General features: G+C 45.6%; 1 protein-coding gene across 5 annotated transcripts in view; it reads right to left on the bottom strand.

The window, feature by feature from the left end:
• KCNE1 (potassium voltage-gated channel subfamily E regulatory subunit 1) overlaps positions 1 to 16,225 on the bottom strand; it is a 65,523-nt gene extending 49,298 nt beyond the window's left edge. For 2 of the 5 annotated variants that reach the window (XM_047440764.1, NM_000219.6), the window contains exons 1-2: positions 16,042 to 16,225; positions 15,116 to 15,330 (exon numbers count right to left, since the gene is read on the bottom strand). The gene's annotated coding sequence lies outside the window, so the exon portion shown is untranslated. Of the gene's footprint in view, positions 1 to 15,115; positions 15,340 to 16,041 lie in introns of those variants that run through there. The other 3 variants (NM_001270404.3, NM_001270402.3, NM_001270403.2) reach the window with 2 other exon arrangements.

The following is a 16,225-nucleotide window of genomic DNA, read 5'->3' on the forward strand; positions in this document are numbered from 1 at the left end:
GCTCTTTCAGACATTTTCATGTAGGCATTTAATGCTATGAAATTTTTCTTAGCACTGCTTTTTCTGTATCCCAGAGGTTCAGCTCAAATACTTTTTTTTTTCTTTTTTAGATGGAGTCTCACTCTGTGGCCCAGGCTGGAGTGCAGTGGCTCATCTCGGCTCAGTGCAAGCTCCGCCTCCCAGGTTCACACCATTCTCCTGCCTCAGCTTCCTGAGTAGCTGAGACTACAGGCGCCTGCCACCACTCCCGTCTAATTTTTTCTATTTTTAGTAGAGACAGGGTTTCACCGTGTTAGCCAGGATGGTCTTGATCTCCTGACCTCGTGATCCACCCGCCTTGGCCTCCCAAAGTGCTGGGATTACAGGAGTGAGCCACCACACCTGACCCAGTTCAAATACTGTTTAAATTTCTGTCTTGATTTCATGGTTGACCCAAAGGTCATTCAGGAGCAGATTACTTAATTTCCATGTATTTGTGTAGTTTTGAGGGTTCCTTTTGGAGTTCATTTCCAGTTTTATTCCACACGGTCTGAAAGGGTAGTTGGTATAATTTCAGTTTTCTTAAATTTATTGAGATGTTTTTTGTGGCCTATCATATGGTCTATCTTGGAGAATATTCCATGTGCTGACGAAAAGAATGTTTATTCTGCAGTTGTTGAGTAGAATGTTCTGTAAATATCTGTTAAGTCCATTTGTTCTAGGGTATAGTTTAAGTTCATTGTTTCTTTGTTGACTTCCTGTCTTGATGATCCATCTAGTGCTGTCAGTGGAGTATTGAAATCCCCCACTATTATCATGTTGCCATCTATCTAATTTCTTAGGTCTGGTAATAATTGTTTTAGAAATTTGAGAGCTCCAGTGTTGGGTGCATATATATTTAGGATTGTGATATTTTCCTGTTGCAGCAATCCTTTTATCATTATATAATGTCCCCCTTTGTCTTTTTAAATTGTTGTTGTGTTAAAGTCTGTTTTGTCTGATATAAGAATAGCTACTCCTGCTTGCTTTTGGTGTCCATTTGCATGGAGTATCTGTTTCCATTCCTTTACCTTAAGTTTATGTGAGTCCTTATGTGTCTGGTGAGTCTCTTGAAGATGGCAGATACTTGGTTGATGGATTTTTATCTATTCTTCCATTCTGTATCTTTTAAGTGGAGCATTTAAGCCATTTACATTCAACTTTAGTGCTGAGATGTGAGGTACTGTTCTATTCATTGTGCTAGTTGTTGCCTGAATAACTTTTCTGTTGTTGTTGTTGTTTGTTTTTTCTATTTGTATTGTTTTATAGGCCCTGTGAGATTTATGCTTTAAGGAAGTTCTATCTTGGTGTATTTTGAGGTTTCGTTTAAAGATTTAGAACTCCTTTTAGCATTTCTTGTGGTGCTGGCTTGGGAGTGGCAAATTATCTCAGCATTTATTTGTCTGAAAAAGACTTTATCTCTCTTTCATTTATGAAGCTTAATTTTCCTGGATACAAAATTCTTGGTTAACAATTATTTTGTTTGAGGAGGCTAAAGATAAGACCCCAATTCCTTCTTGCTTATAGGGTTTCTGCTGAGAAATCTGCTGTTAATCTGATAGGTTTTCCTTTATAGGTTACTTGATGCTTTTGCCTCACAGCTCTTAAGAGTCTTTCCTTCATCTTGACTTTAGATAATCTGATGACTACATGCCTAGATGATGATCTATTTGCAATGAATTTCCCAGGTATTCTTTGAGCTTGTTTGATATCTAGGTCTCTAGCAAGGCCAGGGAAGTTTTCCTCAATTGTTCCCTCAAATAAGTTCCACACTTTTAGATTTCTCTTTTTACTCAAGAACACCAATTATTCTTAGGTTTGGCAGTTTAACATAATCCCAAATTTCTTGGGGGCTTTGTTCATTTTTTAAATTCTTTTTTTTTCTTTTTTTTGGTTTTTATCTGATTGGGTTCATTCAAAAGTCTTGCCTTCGAGCTCTGAAGTTCTTTCGTCTGCTTGTTCTAATCTATTGTTGACACTTTCCAGTGCATTTTATCTTTCTCTAAGTGTGTCTTCCATTTCCAGAAATTATGACTGTTTTTTCTTTATGATATCTATTTATCTGGAGAATTTTCATCCATATCCTGTATTGTCTTTTTAATTTCTTTAAGTTCATTTTCACCTTTTTCTGGTATCTCCTTGAGTAGCTTAATAACCAACCTTCTGAATTCTTTATCTGGCAATTTAGATTTCTTCTGGGTTTGGATGCATTGCTGGGAAGCTAGTGTGATCTTTCAGGGGTGTTATAGAACCTTGTTTTGTCATATTACCAGAATTAATTTTCAGATTCCTTCTCATTTGGTCAGCTTTGAGCTCACCAAAGAGAATATTTCAATGGAAAGATCTGGAACTCAAGGGCTGCTGTTCACATTCTTTTGTCCCACAGGTGACCCTTGATGTGGTGCTCTCCCCCTTCCCCTAGGGATGGGGCTTCCTGGGAGCCAGACTGCAGTAATTGTAATTGTTCTTCTGGGTCTAGCCACCCAGTGGGGTTACCAGGCTCTGGGCTGGTGCTGCGGAATGTCTGCAAAGAGTCCTGTGACGTGATCCATTTTCAGGTCTCCTAGCCATAGCTACCAGCACCTGCTCTCGTGGAGGTGGCCAGGGAATGAAGTAGACTCTCTGAGAGCCTTTGGTTGTAGATATCTTTAGTGTGACGGCTTTCTCAAATGCTTGTTATGTTAACAGTGAAGTTGTCACATGGACAGATTCAAGACCTCTGGTTAGCCAGGATGTTGCAGGCAGTGGAATTAGCTGTTGTTTTCTCTTTCCTTGAAGCAGGGTTATTCCGTCATGAGTTGTTGTAATGTCCTGAGCTGCTTGGCCTCCAGCCAAGAGATGGTGCTTTCAAGAGAACACCAGCTGCAGTAGTAGTAGAGGGATCTAAGCTTGCCCGAATTTGGCCAGGATTAGTATTTGGGTTTCTCAGGTGATGGGTGGGGCCATAAAGCTCCCCAAAATTTATGTCTTTTGTGATCAACTACCAGGGCAGGTAGAGAAATATCCATCATGTGGGGGCAGAGTTTGGCATGTCTGGGCTCAGACTCTCCTTGAGCAAGGCTTGCCACAGCCACTGTCGGGGGTGAGAATGTGGTTCTCAGGCCAATGGGGCTATGTTCCAAGGGGTATTATGGCTGCGTCTGTTGCATTATATAGGTCACCAGGGAAGTAGGGGAAAGCAATAGGCCTCACCCAGCTCCCACACAGTTGGTGGGGCCGATCTTGCTCCTTCTGTATCCCACTAACAGCACCAAGTTTATCTCTGGGCAGCTTATGCTCTGGACTCAGACCTTGCCCCAGGCTATAAGCTTCCCTGCTGAGAAAGCAAGCACAGCTTTCGGGCCTTGCCCTTCCCTGTCTGCCCATCCTGTTGGCCACAGCTTTGCACTCCTATCTGTAGCAGTTCCCTTTTGCCCTCCGGATTCTGTTCAAGAGAATTTGCACCCAGTTGAAATTATTACAAAGCTCACTTGGAAGCTTCTTTCACCCTGTGGCCCCTGCTAATTCTACTGGCTGCCTCTCTCAAGGACCCCTGTGAGATAGAGTCAGAGATGGCTTCCCCGGGCTAAAGCTGGAGCATGGGAATGTCTACAAGGCTCTTCCCACTGCTGCTTCTACTTTTATAGAAAATATTTTGTACTAAATCCATTTCAGCTGTAGATACGGTTAAATCCTTCTCCTGTAATCTGGATTTTCAGGTTCCCCATTGGGGATATGTGCTTGGAGGCAGGTTTTCTCCCTCTCACACTTTGGGAATGCACAGTTTTTTGCCTGTCTTGTGGAATTTGCAGCGGTGTGCCACTTCTTTAAAAGGATCAGTGAATTATTTTGGTTTTCCTGGTACGTTCCTGTGGTCGTTCTTAGAACAAAAGTTCATGCTTTGTGTCTCCACATACTCCTCTGTCTGTCCATTCAAGTGGGAGCTGAACAGTAGCCCTGTCTCCTATCTGTCATCTTCCTCTTAAAACCTGGCAATTTATTTTTATTTTTTATAGAGACAAGGTCTCACAATGTTGCCCAGGTTGGTCTTGAACTCCTGGGCTCAAGCTTCCCAAAGACACCGATATTTATAATTTAAATTTAACATTACTGAATTATTATTTAACTTTATTTTATTTAATAATTGTATCTATTTTCCCCTTCAAAGGAAATTATGTTTCCTAAAAACATGTTTGTATAACATACATATATATACACATACATATGATTAATATATATACACACAGTACTTTCTTGTTCTATCCAAAAACATTCACATAGCAGTCTCAAAATGATAATAATAGCTTTGTTACAAACAATAAATCCAGTAAGGGCAAAGCTTATTTGTAACACTTTCTGTTCCCAGAGAGTATCCAACTAAGGCTGTGCAGCCCAAGTGCCACGTTTGACAGTTTCTTAAAATGATTCTTTTTGCCATGTTATCAGTTTGATATATAGTTGGCCTCATTTCTTTGTGTGTACAATTTTGGACTGCTTTCTCTGATCTTTTTTATTTCATTTATGTTTTGCATAATGTAAAACACTTACATGGTTCAAAAGTCAAAACTATTTTTGAAAGTACAGAGAATTCTTTCTTCCAGCCCTATCCCTCTACACCATTCCTACCCACTTGTATGGTTAATCATTTTTATTGGTTTTTGGCTTATCTTTCCAGTGTTTCTTTACAATAAGCAAATATGTATATGTACACACATATATAATCTTATTTTTCAAAAAATAACACCATATATGCACTGTCTGTATTTGGCCTTTTCTACTAACAATATATCTTGGATATTATTCCATAGTGGTTAATGGCAGGCATTTTTTATTCTTCTTTCTTATGGCTGCATAGCACTTCACTATGTGACTCTACCATAATTCACTCAAATTCATTTCAACCAGTTTCCCATTGGTGGACACCTGAAAAACTCCTATCTCTCGATATTTGGTTAGTTGCCTCAACTGCATGCCAACTTCTGCTTTGGAGTGGATAAGGAAGGTAAGACCTTTGGGGACAAGACTCAAGACTCAGCCACTTTTGTCCCAAAGCTACAGGACTTGTTCTGCCTGCCAATGCTGTCTCTTTCTTCAGCAAAAGTGGGATTAAGCGTGTGTATAATGCCAGGTATGAAGCTGCACTGCTATGCAAGTTGGACTTCTCAATCAGCATAAAAGAGCTGACCATTGGAACCATCCGAAATCTCATGAAGAGGGTTGAGGGACTCTACTTATGTACATTTTACAGCAGAGAGTAGGACCGGGTAAGTCAAGGTTATCCACTATAGTAAGTTACTGCTCAAAGGAAAACTGATAGAAAAAGGGTCTCCACCTTCTTAAACACAGAAGCAGTCTGCTTCAGGCAGAAGATGACAGGCAACTCTTCTAGTAGAACTTGAGGTATACATTCATGGCTCCATTGAGAATGGAGATGGGGTTTCAAGCATGGAAGTGGGGACAGTGACCCATCAGTCTGAGAAGACACTTTTATGCCCACATCTCAAGCATTGCTATTATTTTAGAAGTAGATGCTCAGTTGTCTGATAAAGAGTATGATATCATCCCTATTGGTTTTAGGACCTAGAAATAGATTTGCAGGACCCTAAGGGCAGGATAGAGGTGGATGAGAAGGTTTATAGTTTTTGGGTCCAAGAGGTGGTGGTTGGTTAGCGTATGGGAGAAGAACCAGCAGAACCTGAGGGTGTAAGGGTTGATAGACAAAACAAAGCTCTAAGTACATGGGCCCCAGGCCAGCGCCCAGAAACAAGCCCAGACACAAGAACCCAGCCCCATACTATGATCTCACCCCTAGCAGGCCCCCATTCACTCTGCAGCTGAATGTCCAGGACTTCTGCAGGTTAAAGAATGACATCTGCTAATCTCCAGTCAAGGTGCACCTCAGCTACACTCTGGACTGTAGTAACAATGTGCACCATTGTCTGTATGCCCTGGGGAATCACTAGACTCCAAGGTGGGCTTTGAACTTGGTGTTGTCACCAACCAGTGGGTGGGGACCTGGGAGTCCCATACCTTAGTGTAGGAATGTTGATGTCATGGGTATTGGGGACAGAGGAGATGGACTGCATTCATGCATGCTTTTGCTGTTGTGCCAGCTCTCTAAAATACCTTGCCTTTTTTGGTCTATGTATCAGAGACCTTTCCATCTGTCAACAATCAACATTAGCATCACCTTGCTAATAGAGCTTTTCTTGGGCCCCCTTTGGTAGAAGGGTAGTCTACTCCTTCCTTTTGGTTCCTAATCCAGTCCTGACTGGATTATAAGGACTTCAATTCATCTCTATAACTAGTATTTAGCACTGTGTCAGGCACCTAGCTGGTACTCAGTAACTGTTCAGAGAATGAGTGAATAAATGAATGAATGATTCCAACAGATGAAGGAACTGGCCTGAAAATGACTTGCCTATTTGCCAAATTCACCCAGCTTTTTAGTTTCTCACCTTCTGACACCAATCAGGAATAAAAGCCAAAACCTAGATTGGCTTTTCATCCCAAGACATGTCCTGTCCTTTATATGGGTGTGGACTTACGTTAGAGCCCTTGTCATTCCTAATAATTCCCTCTTGTGCCTACCTGGATGGAGCTCACCTTGGGCTATGATTAGGAGAGCCTATCTCCAGCACCTGCACTCACTCACCTGACTCCACCTGATGACTTGACCTATTTGTTCCTCCATCAGTCAACATGAGTGCATTGGAGACTTACTGTCCGTTGTTCTCTGTGGACACATGTGAAGTGCAAAGACATGCTAAGGCAACTGGCCTGAGCCTGTAATTCAGCCAAGGCTGGTAATGACACATGATCAGAGGTCACAACACTCTTTTTAAGTCACAGCAGTTTCCCTTAAGCATGGCTTTAGAGTCTCTGAGCTCACCATGACTTCTATTAGAGATAGCATAAGCCTACAGTGCTTTCCCTACTCTTTGTTCTCATTCACCACTCAGCACCACACTTTTGGCACCAGATAGATGGGGATTTTTCCCACACGTATCAGTAAAGCAATTCTGCAGCACACACCAATGAGGTGTCCTGCAATTCAATTCAATTCTGATGCTAACTACCCAAAGATGTCATCAAATCCCACAGGGTGAGGGCTTAGTCCTATAAGACTCTCCCCAACCTTGCACACCAATTGCAAGCCCTAGGATGTGACCTGTGCCTTTGACCAACCAGCTACAAATTGAGGTTCCTACAACCCCCTCCTTGGGTTCAATTAATTTGTTAGAGCAGCTCACAGAATTCAGGGAAACACTTTGCTTATGTTTATCCCTTATGATAAGGGACATTACAAAGGGTAAAATAAACAGCCAGCTGAAAGGGAGGCACAGGATGAGGTATGTGGGAAGGGCTGAGAAGCTCCCATGCCCTCCTAGGGACCACCCTCCAGGAAGCTCCACATGTTCAGCTGTCCAGAGCTCCCAAAACTCAGCCCTTTTGGGTTTTTATGGAAGCTTCATTATATAGGCATGACTGACTACATCATGGGCCATTGGTGATCAGCTTAACTTTCAGCCTCTCTCCCCACCCTGGAGTTTGGAAGTGGGGCTGTAAGTCCTAACCCTCTAATCATGCCTTGGTCTATGGACGACCAGTTCCCATCCTGAAGTTACCTAGAGGACTCATCCACCCATTACTCATTAGCATACAAAAGACACTCATCACTCTGGAGACTTCAACTGTATATCAGGAAACATGGATGAAGACCAAATATGTATTTCACAATATTATAGCTGCCATCAGCCATGGGTGAGTTTCTCATCATTCAAAGTTTCCTTCTTTTTTAGAAACCACCTGTTTTACTCTAAACAAAGTAGATTCTTATGAAAGGTAGGCTGTTTGGGGGTCCAGAATTTCAACATATGCCACCAAACCCTTTTCTTCCCTCTGAATTTTTGGAGGCGCACCTCACCTTGTGAATTTGTAGCACCCCAAACCAGTAAGCACACACATTCAAATACATGTACATGCCCACAGCTACCCACTAGTAAGCACCATCCCCCATGTCCGGTCACACAGATGTGAGAAGATGGAGAAATGTTCACCTAAACAGCTGGTGTGTGAAGTCCTGCCTCTGTCAGCTGAGCTCACATGGGAAAGATCCCCAGTCCCTAGGCCCCACATCAATGGGCACAGGGCCTTCGGAGGAAAGGACAACCACTCCGTCGTGGAGGGAGAACACTTTGGACTCGGGTGTGTGTTTGAGGGATTCCAGAGGGTAGAGGTTGAGGAAGAGGAGTTGGGAGAGTGAGAAGGTAGGATGTTGCACAGGATGAGACCCTTCCTCTCAAACCAAACCTAATAGCCAATAAGTACAGGAAAAGATCCTTGACATCTCTAGTGATCAGGGAAATGCAAATCCAAACCCCAATAAGAAACCACTTCATACTCTCCAGGGTGGCCAGAATACAAAAGGCTGAGAACAAGTATTGGGAGGATGTGGAGAGATCAGAACACTCCTACGCTGCTGGTGGCAATGTAAAACGGTACAGCTGCCTTGGAAAACAGGTCCCCAAATGTTAAACACAGAGCTATCACAGGACTCAGCAATTCCACTCCTACATATATACCCTGAGAGAAATGAAAGTACATGTCCACATGGACACTTGGACACAAATGTGCATAGCAGCATTATTCATAGTAGCCAAAACCCAAATGTTCATCAACTGATGAATGAACTGACACAATGTGGTCTATCCAGACAATGGAATATTAGTCATGAAAAGGGATGAAGTACTTATACTTGATATACCATGGATGAACCTCAAGTATGTTAGGCTAAGTGAAAGAAGCCAGTCACAAAAGACCTCCTGTTATGTGATTCATTCATATGAAAGTCCAGAATAGGGAAATCTATAGAAACAGAAAGAAGATTAGTGGGAACTTAGGGCTCAGCTTGCGAGGTGGGGGCAGGGGCAGGAAGATGGGAGGTGACAGCTAAAGGGTTTGGAGTTTTGTTTGGAGGTGATGAAAATGTTCTAAAACTGACCGAAGTGATGGTTGCACATATCTGTGAATAGACCAAAAACCATTGATCATACACATTAAATGGGCGAATTGTATACATGCAAGTTATATCTCAGTTAAGGCATTAAGAACTAAACAAAAACTAAGAACACAGATCTTCTGTCTTTCCTATTTATTTATTTATTTTGAGACAGAGTCTTGCTCTGTCACCCAGGCTGGAGTGCAATGGCGTGATCTCGGCTCACTGCAACCTCCGCCTCCTGGGTTCAAGCAATTCTTCTGCCTCAGCCTCCCAAGTAGCTGGGATTACAGGCACCCGACACCACACCCGACTAATCTTTTGTATTTTTAGTAGAGATGGGGTTTCACCATGTTGGCCAGGCTGGTCTGGAACTCCTGACCTCAGGTGATCCACTTGCCTCGGCCTCCCAAAGAACTGAGATTACAGGCGCGAGCCACCACGCCTGACCACCTTGATCACCTTTTTTTTTTTGGAAAGCAATGAGGGAGCAACACTTTGTTACCTGGGAGGCGTGGACCAAAAGAGAGGCAGAGGCTGGAGGGAGAGTGTGAGGCAGGGATCAATGGGCATCATGCCAGGCTTAGGGCATCCCCAAAGCTGTGGGATTGGGGCTTGAAGCCCAGGTCTTAGAGACCTGAGCAGGCCCAGCTGACACAGGCTGCAAACAAATGTCCTCTCATCCTCACCGCAATCCCTACAAGCTGCTCACCTCCTGTTGCCATGTGGATGTGTCCTGAGTGGCCCACGCAGATTTCTACACTTGATCCCCTCGCTTGAAATAAAAGGAGATAAAGTGAGTACAAACACCCTTATGCATTACTGTAGCTCAAACGAGGCCAGACTAGATCCTAAAGAAGACCTGGCGTGGGCCATCTTCTAGAGTCATCCCACCTCCCAGGACAAGCAAAGGTCCTGCCTCCAAGTCATTGCAACTTATATGACACAGCAAGGCAATATAGACTCTGGGGGAAAAAGTTTTTTAACTACAGTATTTTTAAAATAGAACATTATTTTGAAATTACTTCGACATCTACTGTCAGGTGACTTGTAAAAGCGCTTGTATGTTAAATGCTCTACATTAGGAGATTATTTTGTTCTTGAGTCCCTACAGAGAATTCCTTGGGAATGAAGTGCTATTGTGCATTCAGAATTATGTGGCTATAGCCATATTGCAGGCCGGGAACTCAGGAATGTCCCCTCTGTCCCAGCTCTTCAAGTTGGGCCCTACAGATCCCACGGGGACAAGCTTTTGGAAAATTGCTGGGTTTCTAGACCAATCACGTCTTTGAAATGTCTTCTTGTCACTCCGTGGTTTCTTGCTTCAGCTTAACCCCACTGGCCCCATAGATCAGGCAGCTCACAATTTGAACACAGCCAGGGGGCATGGAGGATGAGAACCAATCTATCCTGACAATCCTGGCAGCACGTGGGGAAAGCCAGGCCCAAGTTTCCATATGTGAACACATTACATTGTCTCCACCAAGAAAAGAGCCCCTGTGAAATATTCATGTGCGTCACCCACTTTGCCTTAGGTTCCATTACCTAAGGGACAGACCTGGTGTTGCTCAACAGTGCCAGGCTTAGCACTGCCAGGGGAGATCTGCAGCTACAAAGAGTTAAAGAAGAAGGAATTGAATTGAGTTATAAGCAATACATCTAATAAATATTTATTGAGTGACTATTTCATTCCAAGCATTCTGCTAGGTGCTGAGAAATCAGAAACAAATACATTGAACTCATTGGCAAACTAGCTGGGGAGATGGGCAGGGAAGCCAACTGTTGCAGTCTGGTGAGAGTTGTGCTGGGGAATGCAGTGGCTTTGCAGGAGCCCGGAGCAGAGACATGTAGTTCTGCTTGGTGGGATTGAGCAGATGTCAGGCAAAGCTTCCCAAAGGACACGATGCTCAAGAAGGGTCCTGAAGAATGATTTGAAGCTGGAAAGTCAGAGGAAAGCATCGAAGGTGAAGGCACAGAGGTAGGGGACGCATGGCACACCCAGAGAACTGCAGACGCCCTGTCATGCCTGCAGTCTTCACGGGAGGTGAGAAAGAATTTCCAGGGTACATGGATGCATGTTAGGAGGCTGAGACTGGTCTTCGAAGATGATCAGACATAGGCTTGAAGACTTGATGCTTTCAAAAGCTCGCTCTGACAGTAGCGTAGAGAAGGAATGGGGGAAGCTTTGCTTATAATAAAGTGAGAAATGATGGGGGCTGAATTAAGAGAATGGCTCTGGGGGTGGAGTATGAGAGTATTTCCTAAAGATAGAAGAGAGAATGGCCAGGACTTGAGAGTGGCTGAAGTCGGGTACAGGGAGACAGGAGACACCTTTTATGGCCATAGCTTGAGTCACTGTGTGGACAGGCGTGCTCATCATTGAGACCAGGAAGCTTGGAGGGGAAAACGCTCATATGCAATTCTGAAGTTCCTAAGAGACAACTGGATAACACACAAGGATGAATGTGAAACAAACAAGGGGCTAGGTCCCGTAAGCTCATCAGAACTTCTTTCTGAAAGAAGTAAAGCACATCTCTAATGACAACAGAAATAACCACAAACCTGCGAGTCAGCCTCAAATATCTTTCCTGGGGGATTAAATGATGGCTGAGGGACGGGGTACCCCAGAATGTCCCTTGCACAGGAAAGGACCTAGAGAAGAGAGACTGTTTTTTGAGCAGGTCACATTCAGCTTACTGCAATGTCTTTGCTTTAAACGGTCCCCTGCATTATAAGAATGGAGTTTATATGAGAGGTGAGAGGGTCCCAGTGACTTAGCAACCGTGGCATGCTTCTGCAAACATTTCAAAGACCTCTACTCTGGCTTTTAGAATGCTTTCTAGAGCAAGTAGCATGCATAACGACACCACTACCTGGAATTATACACTGTCTTTCTTCAGAGGCACACAAAGAGCTTAACACATTACCTTAGTTCTAGGTTAGCTGCTTTGTTTCATGCATGCTTGCTGGTGTTTCTGGAAGAACATTTATGAGGTGATTGCTCTTGAAAGACTTCAGAACAATCAAGATGGTTTGTTGCTGTTGGGTTCTTTTTTTTTTTGAGACAGGGTCTTGCTCTGTGGTCCACGCTGGAGTGCAGTGGTGCAATCTCAGCTCAACACAAACTCTGCCTCCTGGGCTCAAGCAATTCTCCCACCTCAGCCTCCAGATTAGCTGGGACTATAGGTGCATGCCACCACTCCTAGCTTTTTTTTTTTTTTTTCTGTAGAGGCAAGGTTTCACCATGTTGCCTAGGCTGGTCTCCAACTCCTGGGCTCAAGCAATCTGCCCGCCTCGGCTTTCCAAAGTGCTGGGATTATAGGCGTGAGCCACTGCACTGGCTGGGTTTTATATTTTATTTTATTTATTTATTTATTTAGACTGAGTCTTGCTCTGTCACCCAGGCTGGAGTGCAATGGCGCCATCTCAGCTCACTGCAAACTCCACCTCCTGGATTCAAGCAATTCTCCTGTCTCAGCTTCCGGAGTAGCTGGGATTACAGGCGCACACCATCACACTCGGCTAATTTTTGTATTTTTAGTACAGACGGGGTTTTGCCACATTGGCCAGGCTGGTCTTGAACTCCTGACCTCAGGTGATCCACCCTCCTCGGCCTCCCAAAGTGCTGGAATTACAGGCATGAGCCACCGCGCCCAGACTGGGGTTTTTTAATTTTCACTATTATTTTTTAATAGAAAGCATGCAAAAAGAGACGACACAGTCATTGGACAGTATTACAAAAAATAGTCATAGAAGTGAATATAAATGATGCAAAATGCAATACAGCTAGAGTCCCTTCTTCACCCTTTTTATTGATATGTTCACCCAAGTGTTCTCACACATAGAAGCAGGTGGTTTTCTTTACTACAGTAGTATAGTTTGGAGTGTTTATGCTTCACTAATGGTACAAAATTAGCTGAGAAAAGATTTAAATTGGTGTTTTAATTATCCAGTGTGATAACAAACCACCTAAAAATGTAGTGGTATAAAACAACTACTGTGTATTTTCTCACACTACTTTGTGGAGGTTTAAAAACACCACAAATTCATCACCTTGGTTTCTGTGGGTCAAAACAACCCAAATTCATCATCTCGGTTTCCATGGGTCAGAACTGCAGGTACGGGTTGGCTGGGGCCTCTGCTCAGGGTCTCACCAGGTTGAAATCAAGGTGACAGCCAGAGCTGTGGTCTCATCTGAACTAATGCAGAACTCACCAGAGCACATGTAGTGTTGGTAGAATCCATTTCCTTGTGGTTGGAGGACGGAGGTGTCCTCTTCCTTGCTGGCTGCTGGCCGGGGGCCATCCTCAGCTCCTAGAGGCTGCCCTCAAGTCCTGGCCACATGGCACCCCAGTCTCACCTTGTGGCAGCTCCAGGCCAGCAGGGGACACCACTGCTCCCTCCAGTGTCCTCTCAGGGTTCACCTGATTGAGTCAGGCCCATCAGGATAATCTTCCTTCTTTTTTTTTTTTAACTTTTTTTTTGTTTTTGAGACAGAGTCTCGCTCTGTCACCCAGGCTGGAGTGTAGTGGCCCAGTCTCAGCTCACTGCAAGCTCCGCCTCCCAGGTTCATGACATTCTCCTGCCTCAGCCTCCCCAGTAGCTGGGACTACAGGTGCCTGCCACCATGCCTGGCTAATTTTTTGTAATTTTAGTAGAGACAGGGTTTCACCACATTAGCCAGGATGGTCTCGATCTCCTGACCTCGTGATCCGCCCGCCTCGGCCTCTCCCAAAGTGCTGGGATTACAGGCGTGAGCCACCACGCCTGGCCCCTTTTTCAACTTTTATTTTAGGTTCAGGAGTACATGTGCAGGTTCATTATTGGGGTAAACTTGTGTCATGGGGGTTTGTTGTACAGATTATTTCGTCACCCAGGTACTAAACCTAGTACCCAGTAGTTATTTTTTTCTGATCCTCTTTCTCCTCCCACCCTCCACTCTCAAGTAGCCACTGTGTCTGTCAATCATCCTTCTTGATAAACTCAAAGTCAAACGAGTCCAGATCTTACCTACATCTGCAAAATCAATTTTTCCTATAAAGGAACGTAATCACAGAAGCACTGTCCCACAGTAGTACGAGTGCTGAGCCGTTGTAGGCAGAGAGGGTTGTCCTGCCCACACTCAAGGGGAGAGAGTGCAGGGCCAGTTCACCCCTCACGCGGAAGTGGCAGTGCTGGGGGCTCACTTCGTGCTCTGCTCACCACAACTCCAAACTCACAACTTTATTCCCACCAATCCCATCCCCTCCAGTCCAGGGGGCACACACTCCAGCAGGACTTCAGCTGAGCCCAGGGAACGCTTTGCTGACTGGTGATGAGGGACCTACCTCTTCACACCCATGACACCCACCCGCTGAGCCCCTCACCGGGGCTCCGAAGGCCCTGGTCAGGTCACCTCTGGTCTCACTTTCCATTCTCCCCTCCTTCCTCCCCTCCAGCCACAGGGTCCTTCTCGATGTGCCCAGACATGGTGGGTGCACACTTGTCTGACAGCCTCTCTTCTTTTCCCTTTGCTTGGAATGCTCTCTTCCCAGTTACCAAAGATACTCAGGCTCTCTCCCCAATTTCCTTCAGGCCCTTGCTCCAAAAGCTCCTTCCGGGTGAAGCCTCCCCTCCCATCCTCCTTAAAGCTTCAGCCTCTACCTGGGACACTTCCTCCCCCACTGCCTGCCTCCTTGAAACTCTCCTTAGTCCTCTTGCAGCCCACACAGCTGAACACAGGCAGGAGGGGGCGCTGCTGCCCTGGCTGGTGTGCAGCCACCAGAGGCTGAAGCTCACTGACGTCTGTCTGGGGCCCAGGATCACCTTCCTTGATTCCAGCTCTCTCAGGCTGTCAGGACCTGGCGCTGGGAGGCACTAGGCCATGCCCTGGCCTGAGGCCTTCTCTCTCCCTCTTTGCCCTGTGTCTCTGCAGGGAAGCCCGGCCCTGCCCCTGGGAGGGTGGGGGCAGACGTGTGGAGAGTGGGTGTACAAGGCCAGGGTTTGCCAGGCCCAGGACAGCCTGGCACCTGTCAATGGATGAGCGCCTCTCCCTTAGCCTGATGTCAGGGTGGGCATGAGGGTGGGAGCAGAGGGTGCCTAACTGAGGAAAGGGTCTGTGCAACCCCCTTCTCCTACCAGTTCTCGTTTCTGAAGTCTCCTCAAGCACACTGCGGTGTCCACACCATTGGCAGCAGGCTCCTTCTCTTCAGGTGGTCTTAGGAACTTCTCAGAACTTTTTGAGTTATCCTTCTGGTCTCTTCCTCCTGAGCACGGTTCTCCTGGTTGAGCTCCAGGCCATGCCATTCAACGCCCTCCAGGACAGGCCGAAGGGCTTGTCTGTTTGGTGGTTGCTAAGGTTTGAAAAAAGCCAGCTGGAAACTTAATCCCCAAAGCAACAGTGTTGGGAGGTGGGACCTAATGGGAGGTGTTTAGTCATGAGGGCTCCACCCTTATGAATGGATTCTCTCTCTCTTGTTCTCTCTCTCTCTCTTCCCGCCCCGCCCACCCCTCCTTCCCCAACCTTGTGATACCTTCCACCATGTCATGGCAAGAAGGCCCTTGCCAGATGTGGCCCCTCCATCCTGGGTTCCCAGTCTCCAGAACCATGAGCCAAATGCATTTCTGTCTGTTACAAATTATGTACGGTGTGGTTTTCTGTGATGAACACAGTGCTGTACCAGGGCCCTCTTGCCAAGACAGCCAGCTTATAGGAGCCTGCATGTGAGGCCCGGACGTCCTACAGAGCAGCAGTTAGAGGTCTGGCCTTCTGGATAGGCACTGCCCTGCCCTGCACACAGGACCTTGGTGGGGCATGATGGGGCTCTTCACCACGCTGCCCTCATTTTAGGAGGTGGGCAACCCTTTCTCCCCCTTCTCCATGTGCTTCTGCAGTTGGAAGAAGTGAGGGGGGTTCAGACACACTTAAGCTGAGCTTAGAGCAAAGCATGTCCCTCAAGGTGACCTTGCCGCATGGCCTGAACCTAGAATTCCCCTGACCAGGGTGGACAGCCATCACCATGGGCCTTTCTGCCTGGCCTAGTATGGCTCTCCTTCGAACTCACCTAGACCCTTGCATCAAAGGACTCGGGGACTCTGCTGCAGTCATCCTAGCACGGTCGAGAGGAGTAGGAAGGTGCCCAGCGGCTCAGCCTTTAAGGAGGTCTATTGGTCACCATTGCTTCTGCCTTCTTGAGAACCATCACCCTCGGAGGATCCGGTAGTGTATCCCAGTCAAGTGTCAAATGC

Source organism: Homo sapiens, chromosome 21 (genome assembly GCF_000001405.40).
Source record: "Homo sapiens chromosome 21, GRCh38.p14 Primary Assembly".
Classification (NCBI taxonomy): Eukaryota; Metazoa; Chordata; class Mammalia; order Primates; family Hominidae; genus Homo; species Homo sapiens.